Source organism: Homo sapiens, chromosome 17, assembly GCF_000001405.40.
Source record: "Homo sapiens chromosome 17, GRCh38.p14 Primary Assembly".
Lineage (NCBI taxonomy): Eukaryota > Metazoa > Chordata > Mammalia > Primates > Hominidae > Homo > Homo sapiens.
In genome coordinates this window covers 73,328,004-73,346,795 of record NC_000017.11, presented here as the reverse complement: position 1 = coordinate 73,346,795, position 18,792 = coordinate 73,328,004, and the positions used below count along the sequence as shown (strand labels likewise).

The following is an 18,792-nucleotide window of genomic DNA, read 5'->3' as shown; positions in this document are numbered from 1 at the left end:
TGGAGAGTGGGTTTTGCATACGCCACCTGGTTTATATTCTGAGACAGACCACCCAAAACCCACTCTCCAAAATTGGCAGAAATCTGCCCAGTCGTTTTCCTGTGATATGGCAATAAACAAAGCGTCAGTTTGACTTATAAACAAACACATATGATGTGATGTGAGAAAGGCTATAATTCAGCTGGGGGTGATGGGCTAGAGGAGAGAGGGGCTGGCTCTCCCGTAGAGGGCCCAGGGTGCAGGAGAAGGGGGCACCAGGCAGAGGGCAGGATGCACACAAAGACTGGAGATTTAAAGGCCTGTTTGATGGAACTTTAACACTGCAGCCTGGCTGGACGGCAACTTCATTTTCAAAAGAAGAGCCCAAGTTTTGTACAAAAAAAAAAAATGTATATACTTAGCACACAAGTAAATCTCAATGGAAAAGAAATTCCGAGCCAATGGCACACACCATCTAATCTTGATCTTCAGTTCTTGCAGTATCATGGACAGCCTCTTCAAGTGCGTTGAAATCAAATTAAGCACACTTTAAAAAGGAGATACACAGAGCAAATCATGTTTTCTTTTTCTTTTTTTTTTTTTTTCTTGAGACGGAGTTTCGCCCTCGTTGCCTAGGCTGGAGTATGATGGTGCGCGATCTCAGCTCACTGCAACCTCCACCTCCCGGGTTCAAACAATTCTCCTGCCTCAGCCTCCCAAGTGGCTGGGATTACACGCGTGTGCCACCATGCCCAGTTAATTTTGTATTTTTAGTAGAGATGGGGTTTCACCATGTTGGTCAGGCTGGTCTAGAACTCCTGACCTCAAGTGATCCACCCACCTCGGCCTCACAAAATGCTGGGATCACAGGTGTGAGCCACAGCACCCAGCCGTGAATCATATTTTCTGTACTATTTATTATGCACCGATTTATAATAGCAAACATTTATGAAGTGTTCAGTAGAAGCCAGGAAGGATTCTAAGGATTGTTCGTGAATGACACCACCTAAGCTTCAGAGTCCTCTAGGAAGCACTGGTGGCATTAAGGCCATTTGCAAGTAAAGATGATGAAAAAGAGAGTTGGGAAGGCCCCCACCCCTGACAACAAGCCCAAAATGCATCCCGCCCCCATTCTCCCTATTGACATCTGCCCTGCATACCAGCACAGGTAAGACTCTGTGTGGTACGTGGGAGGAGTAAGTGATGGGTTTGCTCTCTATGAAGCTCATTCATTCATTCCTTGATGCATTTACTCAACAGCTATTTGTTCTGTACCCACAAAATGGAATCAGACGCTATATAGGAACGATGGCTACAGTAGTGGGCAAGACAGACTCTAATGAATGTTGCGTTATAATATGTTATGATTTACTAGGGAAGACCATACGTGTATAAATAACCACGTTTTCATTTCTCATTCAAATATTATGGAACCACAGCAACCTGAGGAAGAAAGTGGTGAACAAAAGTCTTTCTCTTTTTTTTTCTTTTTTTTTTGAAATGAAGTCTCGCTCTTGTCCCCCAGGCTGGAGTGCAATGGCTTGATCTCAGCTCACTGCAATCTCTGCCTCCCAGGTTCAAGCGATTCTCCTGCCTCAGCCTCCCGAATAGCTGGGATTACAGGCACCTACCACCACACCAAGCTAATTTTTGTATTTTTAGTAAAGACGGGATTTCACCATGTTGGCCAGGCTGGTCTCAAACTCCTGACCTCAGGTGATCCGCCCACCTCGGCCTCCCAAAGTGCTAGGATTACAGGCGTGAGCCACCGCACCCGGCCAAGTCTTTCTGTTTCTTTCCTGCGATGCAGAGGCAGATAAAGCACCATAAGGAGACCACTTCCCCTGGAGGCTCAGAGAGGGCTGCCTGAAGGAGGTGGCATTTATTTGAGCTGGGCCTCAAAGTGTGAACAGCACTGGGTCATGCCTAGAAGGGAAGCGTGCAGGTTTGCAGCTGGCTGGAGCAGGGTTATGTTCTGCCGTCACCATTCTACTGAACGGCTCTGACCTTTTGCCTGTGTTTGCCTCTTTTCCATCAGATTGGGCCATGAGTCCAACAGGCTCAGCTGAGACCTCGTTGATAGCCTGACCATCCCCCAGATCCTCGCAGCCCAAAGTTGTGCCAAACAAGAAACGCTGTGGGGCAGAGACAGGCCGGGGAGAGGCAAAGCTACATACTGTGTGCCAAGCCCTGTGCTTTGTATATTCTCATTTAACATCTAGCTGTCCTGCCATGCAAGTGAAACTATCCCCATTTAACAGCTGGGGAAACTGAGGTTCACAGAAGTGAGGCAGTATGCCCTTGGTCACAGAGCTCAGAAGTACAAGCAACTGGGATTCAAATCTAGAGCCAGCTTGCTTGGAGGGTCATGCCTACTGCAGCCTGGCCTCGTGCAGCTGCCCAGCACGGAGAGGAGATTGAAGGAAAGAGGCCTTCACTGCCTCCAACCCCACCCCAGTGACCTCCCTTGAGCCTCCTGACCACAGACATCTCTGACAGCCGGTTGTGGGTGTGGGGGGAGGGGTACACATTGGCTGTCACTTTACCTATAAGGGCACAGGTGGCACATATGACATTGCTTCTGAGCTGACATTTTTCAAAGGACATTCTTGGGAGATTTCCAGCTATCTTAACACAGGGAGCCCAGAGCCTCGACAAAATTGTGCCTCCAGGGGCACAATTCTGAGGTTCTTCAGAGACACACAGGAGACACATCACCCCTACCCCACCTTTAATCCAGAGGCTGCAGCCCCTGCAGAGAGACCCTGGCTGGCCCCCCGGGTAGAGGCATCCAGGGGACAGGCGGAACACCCCGCACAGATGCGCTGCCGGCTTCAGGCTAGAGTCAGTGCAGAGCCCCTGGGACCGTGGATGAGGGAGGGGCTCCTGCTTCCAGTCTCCCACGGAGTTTCACAAGGTGACTTCTCTGTCATCTAGGGCAACACATTCCTCCCAGACTTCATGAGATTCAACAAGATAAGGGTCCCCTGCCTGACCCCAAGGTCTCAACACCATCCCTAAGGCTGAGTCTGGTGCCAGATCCTTTGGGCTGGAGATGAACAAAAAAGCAAAAGGGCTTTGCTTTGCTTCCTCTTTTCTCCAGGGGTCCTGCCTCCTTCTGGCCCTCCCTCCCCACTCCCATCACCAGGCCTGGAGTCTGTGCTCCCCCTCCGCAGACCCCAGTAATTGCTGATTGAGTGGCTTTGAGGAGCTGTTAAGAGACCAGGGAGACGAAGCAGTCACTTGATTGCCTGGCGGCCTGGCAGGACAGCCCCTGAAAGGCCCCCTTTGTGCTGGGCCGGTCCCTGGGAAGCTGCATTCAATTACCGAGGCCCGTGAGAATTGAAAGCTGCAATAGGAGCCCCTGGTCTCCCCCTCGCTTTCTTCTCTTCTCGCCCTACCCCCACTCCGAAAAGAAACAGATGTTCAGGGAGATGGAGGCGGGAGCAGCAGTCGCTGATGCAAAGCCCTCCTGCCTTGGCTTTGGAAGGCGGAGCGGGGGAAGAGGCAGACCAGACTCTCGCCTGCCTGGCCCCTCCCGCAGCGCGGGCTCTGTTTGGCTCCCTGCTCTCCCTTCTAGTGCCTTCCATCCCCGAGATGCTGCCCATAGAGTGCCTGGGATCAGTAGGCATTCTGCAGATAGTAGCTGGTAGGACGGGGATGGTCTAGATGAGTGGGCTTTGGGATCTGGGCCCCTAGGAGGGCTAGAGAATCCCACTCCCCACCTTGCTTCCAGTCCGGACATGCCTCTGTCTTGGAGTCGGGGGTTAGTGGGTGGGGTATCAGCTAACCTTCTACTCCCATTCCACCTGCCTGAGCACTGAGTCAGCCTCCCCGGCTTCCTGGCCCCTTCTAATCCCTCCCAGGGGAGCTTTGAGGCTTCTCACTCCATCTCTTCCCTTTCCCACCCAGGCCCACCCTCACTGTCCCCATTGATAATACCTTTTACAGCATTCTCTCCTGGGTTAGCTCATTTCACCCTGTGAACTATGGAACTCTACCCATTTTACAGACAAGGACACTGAGGCTGAGAGAGCCTGAGTGATGGCTTCCTCTGCTGGTAAGAGCCAGAACTTCCCCGTGCCACAAGCTCCTCCCCCCAGAGACTCGTTTCACTGTGGGATGGTCCCACAGTCACCCAGGGGTTCCTTCCTCTGCAAAGCTGGGGCCTGGGGCTAGCCAAAATTCTAGAACCCCTGGAGCTGATGCTAACAACTGTTCAAGTCAGTTAGTGGGTGGAAAGACCGAACCTGTAGGGAAAACTGGGGGACATCCCTGTCTGGTCCCCCGCATTCACAGACCCTCACTGTTCCTGGGCGGGATGGACCCCCAGCCTCCTGCCTCACAGATCCCCGCTGCTCCAGGCCAGCCTCACTCGGCCCAGCATCAGGTGCCCCCGCTCGGCATATGGAGTCTCCCTGGCCTGCCTGTGCCCCCTCTTTGTTCTCCTGGGCGGGCAGCTGGGCAGTAGGCACAGAAAGGGGCTTGTATTGTGCTGCATTGCGTCATGGGGCAGACCGAGCCCAGGGACTTTCCATTGTCTTGGGCAGCCGGCTGTGCCTGCCAAGAGGATTGAGGTCCTGGCGGGGGAGTGTCTGCTGCAGGGGTGGTAAGGAGAGTGGCTGGGGTTGTAGAGGGGTGAGGAGAGGGAGGGGAGGGGCCAGAGAACATAAATTAGCAGATGGACTAGGGAGTATTTAATTCCTGCTGGGAGTCGGGGTGGGGGGTTTGGGGGGAGCTCTCGTTCCCATCCTGTGGTCTCCAGGCAGGAGTGCAGGAGTGTAGGAGTTAAGAGGTGTGTGGGCTTTAGAAAATCAGGCAGATTGGAGTTCAAGCCCGGCCGGATCACTTCCCCAGCAAAACCCTCACCCTTCCTGTACTTTATGTGCCCGTCAGTACCCAGGCAGCGTCGGTGCTCAGGTAGCAATAGGAGCTGCCGCACAGAGGTGTGAAAACTAAATACAGTTATGCATGTCAGCGTTTCAGACTGTCTGGCAGAGGGCCTGCTCCATTAGCGGGGATCATTATAGTTCTATTCATTGTAGCTACATCCCTCGAGATGTATCCCCATGTTATGAAGGACTCCGAGTTCCTGAGAACAAGCCGTGCATCTCATTTCCCAAAGCCCAGACCCTCTGGACAAAGGTCCCCACTCCATTTTCTTTACCTGTAAAGCAGGACACAGCTCCCCATCCCAAACTTGTCTGGATTGGGCTAACTGGCTTTTATGTTCTACTTGGATTGCTGTGATTCGCTAACTGCCCCCAGGCAGGGGCATTAGCTGGGCAGGACTGAGGAGGCCTGGGTGGGGTCCTCTGAGCTGCAGTGCACTGATCGTGTGCTGTGCGCTAAAATCGGAGCACTTCTCTTCCAGAGAGTTCTGAGGGGGGGCCCATCTGTTGTCTTATTAGCTCTCAAAACATTGCTGGGAGCTCAGGGTAGGGGAAGGGGTGCACCATGTTTTTAGCTCCACAATTCAGATTTTACTTTCCAACCGAGATTGATTCTTGTTTGGGGCTGATGTCCCCAATAGATAGATGAAGCCTGTGCCTAGGACATCAAAGTGTCAAAAAAAAAAAAAAAAAAGTCAGGAATAATTTAATATTTTTATCTTTAAAAGTAAAAAAGAACTTCAGGCTGGGTGTGGTGTAATTATGCCTGTAATCCCAACACTGGGAGGCCGAGGCAGGAGCATAGTTTAGGCCCAGGAGTTTGAGACCAGCCTAGGCAACAAAGAGAGACCCCTGTCTCTTAAAAAAAAAAAAAAAAAACAGACCAGCCGCGGTGGCTCACGCCTGTAATCCCAGCACTTTGGGACGCCGAGGTGGGCAGATCACCTGAGGTTGGGAGTTCGAGGCCAGCTTGACCAACATGGCGAAACCCCATCTCTACTAAAAATACAAAAATTAGCCAGATGTGGTGGCACATGCCTGTAATCCCAGCTACTCAGGAGGCTGAGGCAGGAGAATCACTTGAACCCGGGAGGCAGAGGTTGAGGTGAGCCAAGATCGTGCCACTGCACTCAAGCCTGGACGACAAGAGCAAAACTCCATCTCAAAAAAAAAAAAAAAAAAAAAAAAAACTTTAAGGTTTTCATTACATGAAAATTCTGAACTTTGGTTTAGATTTTTCTCATGCTTAGTTTGTAACCAAGTGTTGTTTTTATGTTGGATCACACGTGGACAGGCACAGGCATTTTTCACTGTCCAGAGCCTCTAAAGGTCTTAATTAGGCTCTGGCTTTGTCCCCAGTCACAAAGTAAAGCAGAAGCTGGACCAAGATGGTAACTTAGTAGGTTGTGGTTGAACCTCAAAAACATGACACTGTGTCAGAGAAGCCAGACACAAAAGACCACATATTATATGATCCCATTTATAGGAAAGTCCCAAATAAGTTAATCCCTGGAGACAGAAAACAGATTAGTGGTTGCCAGGGGCATGGATATAGGGAGTGACCGGTAGGGGCAGAGATAGGGAGTGACTGCTTCCTGGGTACAAGGTTTTACTTTGGGGTGATGGAAATGATTCAGGGCTGGATAGAAGTGGTGGTTGCACAACACTGCGACGGTCCTAATGCACTGAGTCATAGACTTTAGAATGGTTCACTTTCGGTTATGTGAACCTCACTTCAATTGAAAACAAAGGTAGACTGGGCACGGTGGCCCACGCCTGAATCCCAGCACTTTGAGAGGCCAAGGCGGGTGGATCACCTGAGGTCAGGAGTTCAAGACCAACCTGGCCAACATGGTGAAACCCCATCTCTACTAAAAATACAAAAAATTAGCCAGGCATGGTGGCAGGTGCCTGTAATTTCAACTACTCCAGAAGCTGAGGCAGGAGAATCACTTGAACCGGGTAGGTGGAGGTTGCAGTGAGCCCAGATTGCACCATTGCATCCAGCCTGGGCAACAAGAGTGAAACTGCGTATCAAAAAAAAAAGAAAGAAAGAAAAGAAAACAAAGGTAAGGTAAAGTAGCTCACGCCTGTAATCCCAGCACTTTAGGAGACCAAGGCAGGAGGATCACTTAAGTCCAGGAGTTCTAGACCAGCCTGGGCAACATAAGGAGAGCTCATCACAAGAGAAAAATTTTTTTAAGTTAGTGGGGCGTGGTGGCATGCACCCATAGTCCTGGCTACTCAGAAGGCTGACATGGGAGGATAGCTTGAGCTTAGGAGGTTGAGGCTACAGAGAGGATCACACCACTGTGCTCCAGCCTGGGCAACACAGTGATTCCCTGTGCCCCTTCCACTCCCCGCCCCCCAAAAAAAAGAATAAAAAGGAAAGAAAATAAAATTTGCCAGGGATAGTGGCTGACACCTGTAATCCCAGTACTTTGGGAGGGTGAAGCGGGTGGATCACTTGAGGTCAGGAGTTCAAGACCAGCCTAGCTAACATGGTGAAACCCCTAAACATACCAAAAAAATTAGCCAGGCGTGGTGGCACATGTCTGTCATCCCAGCTACTCAGGAGGCTGAGGCAGGAGAATTGCTTGAACCAGGGAGTCAGAGGTTGGAGTGAGCCAAGATCATGCCAATGTACTCCAGCCTGGCAACAGCGAGATTCTGTCTCAAAAAAAAAAAACAAAAACAAAAACAAAAAAAAACTCAGGTCTTCTGATTCTATCAGGTATCTCCCAGCTCTGGGCCAACCCCATAGTAGATCCTTCCGGTTCCGGATCTGCTGTGAAGGAAGCAGCAGGCGGGCACAAACGGGCACCAGACCCCCTTGGCAGTGAGGGGGCTGGGAGGCCCACAGTCCAAGTCTTGAAAGAGGCAGAGCAGAGTTTTGAACCAGAATGCCCTGTGCCTTCCGGCCCCAACCACAATGGCCTGTCCCTACGGGGCCACTGACACACCCTGATTCTCTGTCCTCCCAGGGAAGTGACAGCGAGTACGAGGTCGACTCAAACCACCAGAAGGCCCACTCCTTTGTCAACCACTACATCAGTGACCCCACATACTACAACTCGTGGCGGCGACAGCAGAAGGGCATCTCGAGGGCACAGGCCTACAGCTACACGGAGAGCGACTCGGGTGAGCCAGACCACACCACCGTCACCAACAGCACCAGCACCCAGCAGGGCAGCCTCTTTCGGCCCAAGGCCAGTCGGACTCCAACGCCCCAGAACCCCCCTAACCCCCCAAGTCAGCAGAGCACCCTCTACCGTCCCCCCAGCAGCCTGGCCCCAGGCTCCCGGGCTCCCATAGCAGGATTTTCATCATTTGTTTGACATCAGAAGAGGAAAAAGCAGAAAGAGAAATGGCACCAAACTCCTCCTTCACCCCTCCTCTCACTGCCTGCCAGAAAACAAAAACACCAAGAAACCAAGTCAACTTTTCACCTCCTGAGTTTATTTTTCCAGAGATTCCAGGGCCAGCAAAGCCGGCGTTCAGAAGGAGGGAGAAAACCGTGAGAGGATGTGTGTGGCCAGCAGCTCTTCAGCTTTGAGATGGTGGGGTTCACTGCTCCCTTGGGAATTACACGGAGCTGGGGAAGTGGCTGTGTCACTGCTATGGACACGGAGTGGGGCGGGCATCTGGAGAGAGAGAGGGAGCGGAGGCTAAGGACTGGAGGCCGCCAGGCAGGCGTGGCCGAGGGAAGAAAAAGCTTCTGGATGTCCAGCCAGCTGCCCCCTTCCAGCCCCTCCAGGACCCCTGGACCCACTGCCGCTGCTCTCTGCAAAAAGAATGGGCATCCCGGAGGCCACGCCTATCTTCTCTCTCTGCTCCTCCTTCCCTCCATGCACCATCACTGTGGCTGGCAGGCATCGGACAGCCTCATCCAGACCCCCTGCCCTGTCTTGGCAACCTCTACTGCCCATCTCCCCTGCTCAACTTCTCCACCAAGCATTTGGTTTATTTAGAAAAAGGAAGAAAAACAAAAAACAAAAAACTAAAGGGTGAGAATTTGCTTAGCGCCTTCCTTGTTCCTGCATATTTTTTAAAATATTGAATCCAAGGAAGAGAGCCCAAGGGTAGGGGAGAAACCCCCCACAACTGACCCCTGCCTCCCTGTGCTGGAATTGACTTTCCTGAGCATGGACAAGGAAAGGTGAAGTCTGGGGAGCAGAGGTGTAAATAAGGCGACTGGCCTTGGCACTGTGGGATGATTAGGTTTAACGCATTGTGGGCAAGATAAGAATGACACTTTGACTGTTCTCTTTCTTCCAATCCAGGTTCCATCCGTCCTCTCTTTAAAGGGGTAGTCAGCTTCCCAAGGCTGGGGAGTGGGGCACAGCTGAGGGATCTCCCTCTGGGCAGACACGTCACTCTCCACTGGATAGATCCTCACCACACACACACACACACACACATCTCCCATGCACTTACAAGGAACAGGGTCTAGGGATCCTCTCCAGAACAAACTCATCTGGGCCCTCCTAGCCAGACAGCACACTCACTTTCAGATCTGTGTCCCTCTCACTGCCACCCGGCAGCCTCCTAAGCACAGAGGCACAGGAGCCCAGAGGGGTGGCCCAAGTCCCTGGTCCAGAGGCTGGAATACCCAGAGTTTGCTCAGTCAGCCTAGCACCCAGTTTACAGGCAAAAAGGCAAAGACACCCTAACCCCCAGTAACAGCTTCCAGGCTGGGCTCCGCCTGGCCAGGGCGGGGAGGGGAAGGGGCAGGTCAGGAAGCTCAGTCCAAAGTGGACCCAGCATTTGAATTGCACGCCCAGCAGGGGCAGGTCAGATGGGACCAAGTGACAAGAATAGCTGATGGGAGGGAATGCTTTTACACACACACACACACACACACACACACATACACATACACAATCTGCTCCAAGGAGTGTTCTGCAAAAAGCCACATCCAGTGGCCAGGATCTTCCCGTCCACTTGGTACTTACGGATGCCAGGGTTTAGGGAGAAGCCTTTCTATCTAACTCCATACATTGTCCAAGGCCCTCTGTGCCCTCAGCCAGCCCTGTAAGGCCAGCCCAACACCTGCCCCACCGCTGAGATGGGTGGCAGATGGCCCACAGGGGCCTGTCTGATTCAGCGTGAGCCCCTTCGTGGAGCAGGGCTCCCTCTGTGCACTGTGTACAGGCGCTGCTGGCCCTGCCCAAGAGATGATGCTCTGTTGGGGTGGGTGAGCAGAGTTCAAGGAAGCCCAAGTAGGAGATTTGGGAAACATGCCAAGGTAAGAGAGAGCCTGGACCACTCTCCTACAGCCCCAAGTCAGTCACTGTGCTAATGGTGACCGGGAAGGGAAGTCAGGGTCTGGGGCCCAAAGAACGGGCACACCCAGCCATGAGTTTTTCCTGAAGCACTTGACCCCTGGGAAATGTGAACGGGGAGATGCTGGAAGATGGCTCAGCAGACAGGCCAGCCCAGCTCCAGTGTCCAAAAAGCGGTTTCTCCAATAAGGAGGCCTGGGAAGGGAAGCACAATCTTCCCCAAAGGAGAACCAAGGGCTGAGGTTCTGCCCCTCCAGGAAGTAAGGTGCTCTCGGGGCCTCCTTGGACTTGTCTGGGGGCTGCAGTGGAGTCAGCTGGACACCTGCTCCACCCCTGCCACCTCCGCCCCCACCCTCTGCAGCATCTGGCATCTCCATGGCAGCACATCTGCAGCTGCCGGCCTGTGATCGTGCCGCACAGCTTTCTTTTCTTTCCTCTCATCTTTTTTTTTTTTTTTTTTTTAAATAACTTCATCCCTTTCCCTCTCTGCTGAGCATTTAACCATTTAAGGAAGTTCCCAGTTTGCATTAGGGAATTATTTAAGCCCAGCCCAGTGAGGGATTATTTGGGAGGAAGCAGGAGTGAGTAAAAACATTGTGTCTGTGTATATATTGCACATGAGGTCAATTTTCCTTTGCCTTTAATGAATCACCTGGTGCACTAAGATATTCCACCCCCCCACTCCCCACACGCTCATTCGCACCCATGCTGACACCTACGTGTACATGCGGGATGGTGCCCATGCACGCCTGTGCTTACACACATGCACACACAAATATGCACAGAACACACATCTGTATGTGTGTTAGCAAAGAGACTCCTGAACTCCCTCTGATGGCTGAAGCCATCTCTCCCCTGTGAGGCACAGGTGGCCTGGGTTGCTTGCACTTGGGGCGTGGCTGGGATCTATTGTCTGAGAGGGTGAGGACACCACGCAAATTTAGACAAGCCCATGAGATCAGGCTGGGCCCATGGTGAAAGTCCCACACTTAGTCAATACCCACTCATCTGGAATATTGTCTCCACAGCCCCAGCCACAGCTGGAAGCCCAGGCCTGCAGCTGTGGAACTCTAGATTTTTTCAGGACACGTCTCTTTGCCCTTGTTTACATATCTACTGGCACAGCCGAGGCTCCCAACCGTCCTCCCAGAAACCTGGCCACATTAGAAAGGGGTGGTGGGCCCTGCCCTTTGTAGAAAGAGTGGGACCCTTTCTGGCCTGTGATTTTCCGTGCCAGTGATGCCAGGGCCCCTGCCTGTGGGACTCCACCCAAAGCAGGTTCACACCAGGACACACCTGGCACCTTTGGCATTGCCTCCTTGTGCCCTAAGCAATCTCCCAGTGTTGCACCCAGGAGCCCATGCTGGGCACACCAGGGCTTTCCCCTTCCTGGCTGCGCCTCCAGAGTTGACGTCAGCTCCACACCCACACTGCCAAGACAAACCAAAAAGATGCTCTGGGCTCCAGAACCACCATCCTCCTAGGGCTCCAGAGAGTTTGCAAACCCAGGCTGCCTCCCCTTCTGTCCATCCCTCACCCCCCGGCCCCCAAAACTCCTACCCCCAAACCTGGCACTGCCGTGATTTAGAGGAAACAAGGACACAGCGGGGGCTGCCCCCACCTGGTGCACGCTGCCTCAAGGCCTTCTGTTGCTGCCCACGCCTCCCTGGGCAGTGCTTCTAAAGGTGCCAGAGCCTCACCACAGTGCCACTCTGGCTGGGCAGGGGCTTCCCTCAGCTTCCCAGAGTGCACATCTGAAGGTGCCTACCCTGGGTGAGGGGCTGGTGGGCAGGAAGGTAAAGGGGAGACCATCTGAGCAGCCGCCACCCGCTCCCCAGTGCCTCTGTATGGCCCTATCCAGGGACACCCATGGGCATGCGCACATGGCAATCCTGACCACCACCTGAGCACAGGTGCCCCCTCGGGACCACCCCCCTTCTCTTTGTTTCCATCAGAATAACCAAAAGCATTTAAACGTGTTACCTTTCTCCATCCATCTAGACTCCAGAAACAAAAATCAACACAAATCTTTATTTTTTGATTTAAAAGATATAACAAAAAATTATGGGGAGAGTATTCATTATGGCAGGTGTCTGTCTGTAAGAAAAAAATATATATCTCTATGTCATATAGCGTGTTAGCAGGTTTATTTTTTAAATGAAAGGTAAGAAAGAAATTGATTTGAAATATATACCACAAGAAGTCCCGTGTCCTGTCAAACTGTCAGTATTTTATAAATAAACTTTTTTTTTTGGAGATTTGAAGCAACATTCTTTTCCTTCCTGTTACATGAATGGGGTCACCTGTCCCAGTATCATACCCAAGCAGTTCATTCCCCAGACAGCAATTTTTAGCCATGCTGTGCTTTTGCAGAGAAGAGTCAAGGGTCTGACTTATCTGCTCTCTTAATGCATAAGTGAGTGCCTTCCAGTGAAATGCACTATTTTATTTATTTTAAACTTTTAGAATAAGAACCTACTTGATGCAATGTGCAAATTATAGTGAATAATAATAATAGCAATAGCTAATATGTCTATGGCATTCACTCTGTGCCAGGCACAGTTCTAATCACTTTACGTTTATTAACTCATGGAATCTTTGCGACAGTCCCAAGGAGGAAACCTGGGACAGGGAGACTTTAAGTGGCTTGCCCTCGGGGAGTGGTGGAGCCAGGATTTGTACTAAAGCCTTCTGGCTCTCAAAACATAATGCTGCCTCTCTGATATTTTAAGGCAAGCTCCTTGTCCATTTTTATTTTAATTTCTACAGAGCTAGCACCCCACTTCCCAGTGATCTTAATGCCATGAGAAATGCTATGTTGTTTGGTGGATCTAACCCAGTTAATCTACCCAGGGTTAGAGTTAGGGCTTAGATTGCTGAATTTATGAGTACAGCGGTGTTGCATTATACCACATTTATCTCACATTACTTAAGTCATGTGGACTCAATAGACTCAAGAGAAACAGAGGGAAAATCTCTCTCTGTCTACTTTTTTTTTTTTTTTGAACCGGAGTTTCACTCTTGTTGCCCAGGCTGGAGTGCAATGGCGCAATCTCAGCTAACCGCAACCTCTGCCTCCAGGGTTTAAGCGATTCTCCTGCCTCAGCCTTCCCGAGTAGCTGGGATTACGGGCATGTGCCACCACGCCTGGCTAATTTTGTATTTTTAGTAGAGACGGGGTTTCTCCATGTTGGTCAGGCTGGTCTCGAACTCCCAACCTCAGGTGATCCACCCACCTCGGCCTCCCAAAGTGTTGGGATTACAGGCATAAGCCACCGCATCCGGCCTTTTTTTTTTTTTTTTTTTTTTTTTGAGACAGAGTCTTGCGCTGTCACCCAGGCTGGAGTGGTGTAGTGGCATGAGGCATGAACACAGCTCACTGCAGCCTCAACCTCCTGGGCTCAAGTGATCCTCCCACCTCAGCCTCCCAAGTAGCTGAGACCACAGGTTCATGCCACCACACCCAGCTAATTATTTATTTTTTGTAGAGATGAGGTCTCATCCTGTTGCCCGGGCTGGTCTCGAATGCCTGGGACCAAGAAATCCTCCCACCTCAGCCTTCCAAAATGCTGGGATTACAGGCATGAGCCACCATACCTGGTAGGGAAATCATTTTAATAGGACATGTAATGCCACTCAATGAGTACACTTATTTTGCACAGTGTACATTATTGCATAATGCACATCAGACATTCATACAGAGGCTGCTTAACTAACCAAACACAACTAAAGCAGGGAATTTCATATATATATTTTTTTCATATATATATATTTTGTTGTTTTTGTTGTTTTTTTTCTTGAGATGGAATCTTGGCCTGTGGCCCATGCTGGAGTACAGTGGTACAATCTCTGCTCTCTACAACCTTCTGCCTCCCTGGTTCAAGTGATTCTCCTGCCTTGGCCTCCCGAGAGCTGGGATTACAGGAGCCCACCACCACACCTGGTTAATTTTTTTTTTTTTTTTTTTTTTTTTTTTGAGACGGAGTCTCGCTCTGTCGCCCAGGCTGGAGTGCAGTGGCGGGATCTCGGCTCACTGCAAGCTCCGCCTCCCGGGTTCACACCATTCTCCTGCCTCAGCCTCCCAAGTAGCTGGGACTACAGGCGCCCGCCACTACGCCCGGCTAATTTTTTGTATTTTTAGTAGAGACGGGGTTTCACCGTTTTAGCCGGGATGGTCTCGATCTCCTGACCTCGTGATCCGCCCGCCTCGGCCTCCCAAAGTGCTGGGATTACAGGCGTGAGCCACCGCGCCCGGCCTAATTTTTATATTTTTAGTAGAGATGGGGTTTCACCATGTTGGCCAGGCTGCTCTCAAACTCCTGACCTCAAGCCATCCACCCACTTTGGCCTCCCAAAGTGCTGGGATTACAGGCATGCACCACTGCGCCCGGCCTCTAACCCACTCTTTTATTTATTTATTTATTTATTGCAACTTTCTGTTTCCAAAACATTGAACATAATTTTCAGAAAAATAGTTATTCTCCTTTTCTACTCTTATTTTATCTACTTACATCATATTTAATTAAATTATGTAATTACTATAAAAAGTACAACTGGCATAAACAAGTTCAGAAACAATGATAATTGACTCCTTGTAAACATACAACTCAATTCAGTAGGAGCAGACGTATGCTGGCCTGATAGAAAGCAGCCTACTACCTTCAGCATTCAGGCTACTGTGTACATCTCTTTGTTTTGCAAAAGGAATATAGGGTATCCATCAGTATGGCTAGTTCACTAAACGGGGGTCAGATGAGACTGCTTCTGGACATATCACGCACAAACCGTGTATACGGTACTTTATGACCGATTTTCAAGGGTAATTTTGACTACAGATAATTTTGATCTTATACATCATTTGGAATCCCACATTACACATAACCCCATGCCCGCTGCTCTGAGGATGTTTGGTTAAAAGATAATAACATAGCCGGGTGCAGGGGCTCACGCTTGTAATCCTAGTACTTTGGGAGGCCGAGGCAGGCGGATTGCCTGAGGCCAGGAGTTTGAGACCCGGGCAACATGGTGAAACTTCGTCTTTACTAAAATACAAAAAATTAGCTGGGCGTGGTTGTGGGCACCTGTTAATCCCAGTTACTCAGGAGGCTGAGGCTCAAGAATTGCTTGAACCCAGGAGGTGGAGGTTGCAGTGAGCCGAGATTGTGCCATTGCAGTCCAGCCTGGGCAACAAGAGGGAAACTCTAAGAAAGAAAAGAAAAAAAGAAGGAGAGGAGAGGAGAGGGGAGACGAGGGGAGCGGAGGGGAGGGGAGGGGGGAGGGGGGAAAGGAAGAGAAGGAAAGGAAGGAAAGGAAAGAAAATAACATGGAAGACATTCTGGACCTGGAGTCAGAAGAGTGGGTTCTGATTCTAGAATGGTCCCTTGCAAATGGAGAGACTTAAAGCATCTTTTCTCAGGGGAAGTGAGTGGCCCCTGATCTACCACCAATCAGGTTATTATAAAGATCAAATAAAATAATGGGACTTGGAGGAAAACGCTTTGAACACCAAAATGTGGCAGGCACAGAAGGCATTTCTGTTCTAGACCTGCCAGAAGGCTCACAGTGTCCCTTAATTCCTTTTTTCTTTTCCTTTTTGTTTTTTTAGACAAGGGTCTCTCTGTTGCCCAGGCTGGAAGGCAGTGGTACAATCTCAGCTCACTGCAGCCTCAACATCCTGGGCTCAAGTGATCCTCCCACCTCAGCCTCCTGAGTAGCTGGGACCAAAGGCACACGCCACTACACCCAGCTAATTTGTGTGTATGTGTGTATTTTTAGTAGAGATGAGCTTTCGCCATGTTGCCCAGACTCGTCTTGAACTGCTGGGCTCAAGGGATCCACCCACCTTGGCCTCCCAAAGTGCTAGGATTACAGGCATGAGCCACCGCACCTGGCCAGCGTTCGGTTCCTTAATTCCAATCTTCCTCTTCATTGATTTTGAATCCCAGACTGGCTCCTCCCTAATTGTGGCCAGTGAACTTTGGCCATCTACAGCTCTGTAACCGGTCAAATACAGTAGGGGGGAAGAAACAATGACTACACACACACACACACACACACACACACACACACACACACACACACACACACACACACAGTAAGGTAAATCTGCTAAGAAGATGGGTGGTGAAATGGCGCTTTCGAAAACCAAGGAGAAGCTGGGCGCAGTGGCTTATGCCTGTAATCTCAGTGCTTTGGGAGGCCGAGGTGAGTGGATCACCCAAGGTCAGGAGTTTGAGACCAGCCTGGCCAACATGGTGAAAACCTGTCTCTACTAAAAATACAAAAAAAGTTGGCTAGGCGCGGTGGCTCACTCCTGTAATCCCAGCACTTTGGGAGGGAGAGCTGAACCGACCTTTCCGAGTCTATCAGTCAAGCTGGAAAGCAATGGCGCACTCAACACAGGCCCATTTCAGGAGTTTCAGGAAGAGACCATTCACCAGATTGTGGGTAAGGACCCGGGGTAGTGAGAGCTGGGGTCATCACCACCCCAGGCCTGGCTGGCAAATGCAGGGAGAAGTCACTGGAACCTGCAGACAGAGATGGCTGGCAGGAGACAGAGACGCCCAACAGAGGCAGGGAGGGTGCTAGGGGATCCATAGCTCCCAACCTCGCTCTCCTACCGTCTTCCATTCTCCTGGGCTTTTTCTTTCTTTCCTTATTATTATTTTAATAATTTATTTTTTTTTTTACTTTCTTTTAAAATAGAGGGAAGTTCTTGCTATGTTGCCCAGGGTGGTCTCGAACTCCTGGGCTCAAGGTATCTTCCTGCCTCAGCCTCCCCAAAGTGTGAGCCACTGTGCCTACCACCATGTCTGGCTTTTTTTTTTTTCCCTGAGACGGGGTCTTGCTTTATCACCCAGGCTGGAGTGCAGTGGCATGATCATGGCTCACTGCAGCCTTGAACTCCTGAGCTCAAGCCATCCTCCTGCCTCAGCCTCCCAAATAGCTAGGACTATAGGCATGCATCACCATACCCAGCTAATTTTTTTTTTTTTTTTTTTTTTGGTACATAAGGGAACTCACCATGTTGCCCAGGCTGGTCCTGGGCTCAAGCAATCCTCCCGCCTCAGCCTCCCAACTGCCTGGGTTTCTTATGGTCCAAACCAAATGAGAATTTGGAAGACACTGAGATGCCATCCACACGGGGCAGCCTCCCAGTGGGGCGCACAGCAAGGTCAGGGGATAGGAGGGGCCAATGGGACCAGCAGGCCCACGGCAGTGCTTCCCTGTGCCTTCCGGTGCTGCTGTCCCCATGACCCCTTACCCTCTTTTACCCAGGGCCCATCATATGCACGTCTCATATACTCTTTTCTTAACGCCCATAAAGAGTGAGTGAAATTGGATCCAAAGAGGTTTGCTGAGCGCTTCTACCACAAAGGGTGGGATTTTCTAGTGTGTTGTAGAAGGTAAGAAGTCTTTGACGGGGGACTGGGCGCAGCGGCTCACGCCTACAGTCCTAGCACTTTGGGAAGCAGAGGAAGGCAGATCACCTGAGGTCGGGAGTTCAAGACCAGCCTGACCCACATGGAGAAACCTCGTCTCTACTAAAAATACAAAATTAGCCGGGCATGGTGGTGTGCGCCTATAGTCCCAGCTACTTGGGAGGCTGAGGCAGGGGAATCACTTGAACCTGGGAAGCAGAGGTTGCAGTGAGCCGAGATCGGGCCACAAAGTGAGACTCTGTCTCAAAAACAAACAAAAAAAAAGATGCCGTGAGTGGAGAGGTGAAGGGACCTGCCATGGAAGTGCCAGAACCAGAATTTGAACTCCGGCTGCCTGGCTTCGTTGTGCCCCCTCTTTTAACCATGAAGCAGCTTTCACCCAGGGTTAAGACACTGCTTGACCTGGAGGAGAAAAGTAGGGGAGACCTCCAAACTCTGGGTGGGCCACAGATGAGGCAGGAAACGTTGCTTCCAAACAACATTGTCCTTTAGCTGGGCATGGTGGCATGCACCTATAGTCCCAGCTACTCGGGAGGCTGAGGCAAGAGGATCACTTGAGTCCAGGAGGTCGAGGCTGAAATGGGCTATGGTTGCATCACTGCACTGCAGCCGGGGCAACAGAGCAAGATCTTGTCTCTTAAAGAAAAAATGTTCCGGCCGGGCGCGGTGGTTCACGACTGTAATCCCAGCACTTTGGGAGGCCGAGGTGGGCGGATCACGAGGTCAGGAGATCGAGACCGTCCTGGCTAACACGGTGAAACCCCGTCTCTACTAAAAATACAAAAAATTAGCCGGGCGTGGTGGCGGGCGCCTGTAGTCCCAGCTACTCCGGAGGCTGAGGCAGGAGAATGGCGTGAACCCGGGAGGCGGAGCTTGCAGTGAGCCGAGATCACGCCACTGCACTCCAGCCTGGGCAACAGAGCGAGACTCCGTCTCAGAAAAAAAAAAAAAAAGAAAAAATGTTCCTGGGGTCGACAGACTTTCTTTTGTTTTGAGACACAGTCTCACTCTGTCGCCCAGGCTGGAGTGCAGTGGCATGATCTCGGCTCACTGCAGTTTCTGCATCCTGGGCTAAAGTGATTCTCCTGCCTCAGCCTCCTGAGTAGTTGGAATTACAGGCACGCACCACCACACCCGGCTAATTTTCGTACTTTTAGTAGAGGCAGGGTTTCACCATGTTGGCCAGGCTGGTCT

The 18,792-nt window shown here is 51.0% G+C and overlaps 1 protein-coding gene across 4 annotated transcripts in view, besides 1 other annotated feature; it reads left to right on the top strand.

The window, feature by feature from the left end:
* Nucleotides 1-12,412, top strand: part of SDK2 (sidekick cell adhesion molecule 2) — a 310,062-nt gene extending 297,650 nt beyond the window's left edge. For 2 of the 4 annotated variants that reach the window (XM_047436313.1, XM_011524915.3), the window contains 2 exons: nucleotides 7,856-8,012; nucleotides 8,342-12,412. In XM_047436313.1, the coding sequence (XP_047292269.1) occupies nucleotides 7,856-8,012; nucleotides 8,342-8,427 (243 nt within the window). In that variant the 3' untranslated portion in view covers nucleotides 8,428-12,412. Of the gene's footprint in view, nucleotides 1-7,855 lie in introns of all 4 variants that reach the window. The other 2 variants (XM_011524914.3, NM_001144952.2) reach the window with 1 other exon arrangement.
* Nucleotides 9,165-10,064: an enhancer, noted in NCBI's record as "H3K4me1 hESC enhancer chr17:71332871-71333770 (GRCh37/hg19 assembly coordinates)". NCBI's record gives its function as "activates a minimal SCP1, AML or CMV promoter by ChIP-STARR-seq in naive H9 embryonic stem cells {active_cell/tissue: H9 hESC(naive)}" and the evidence as "EXISTENCE:reporter gene assay evidence [ECO:0000049][PMID:30033119]".
* Nucleotides 12,413-18,792: the final 6,380 nt, after the last annotated feature.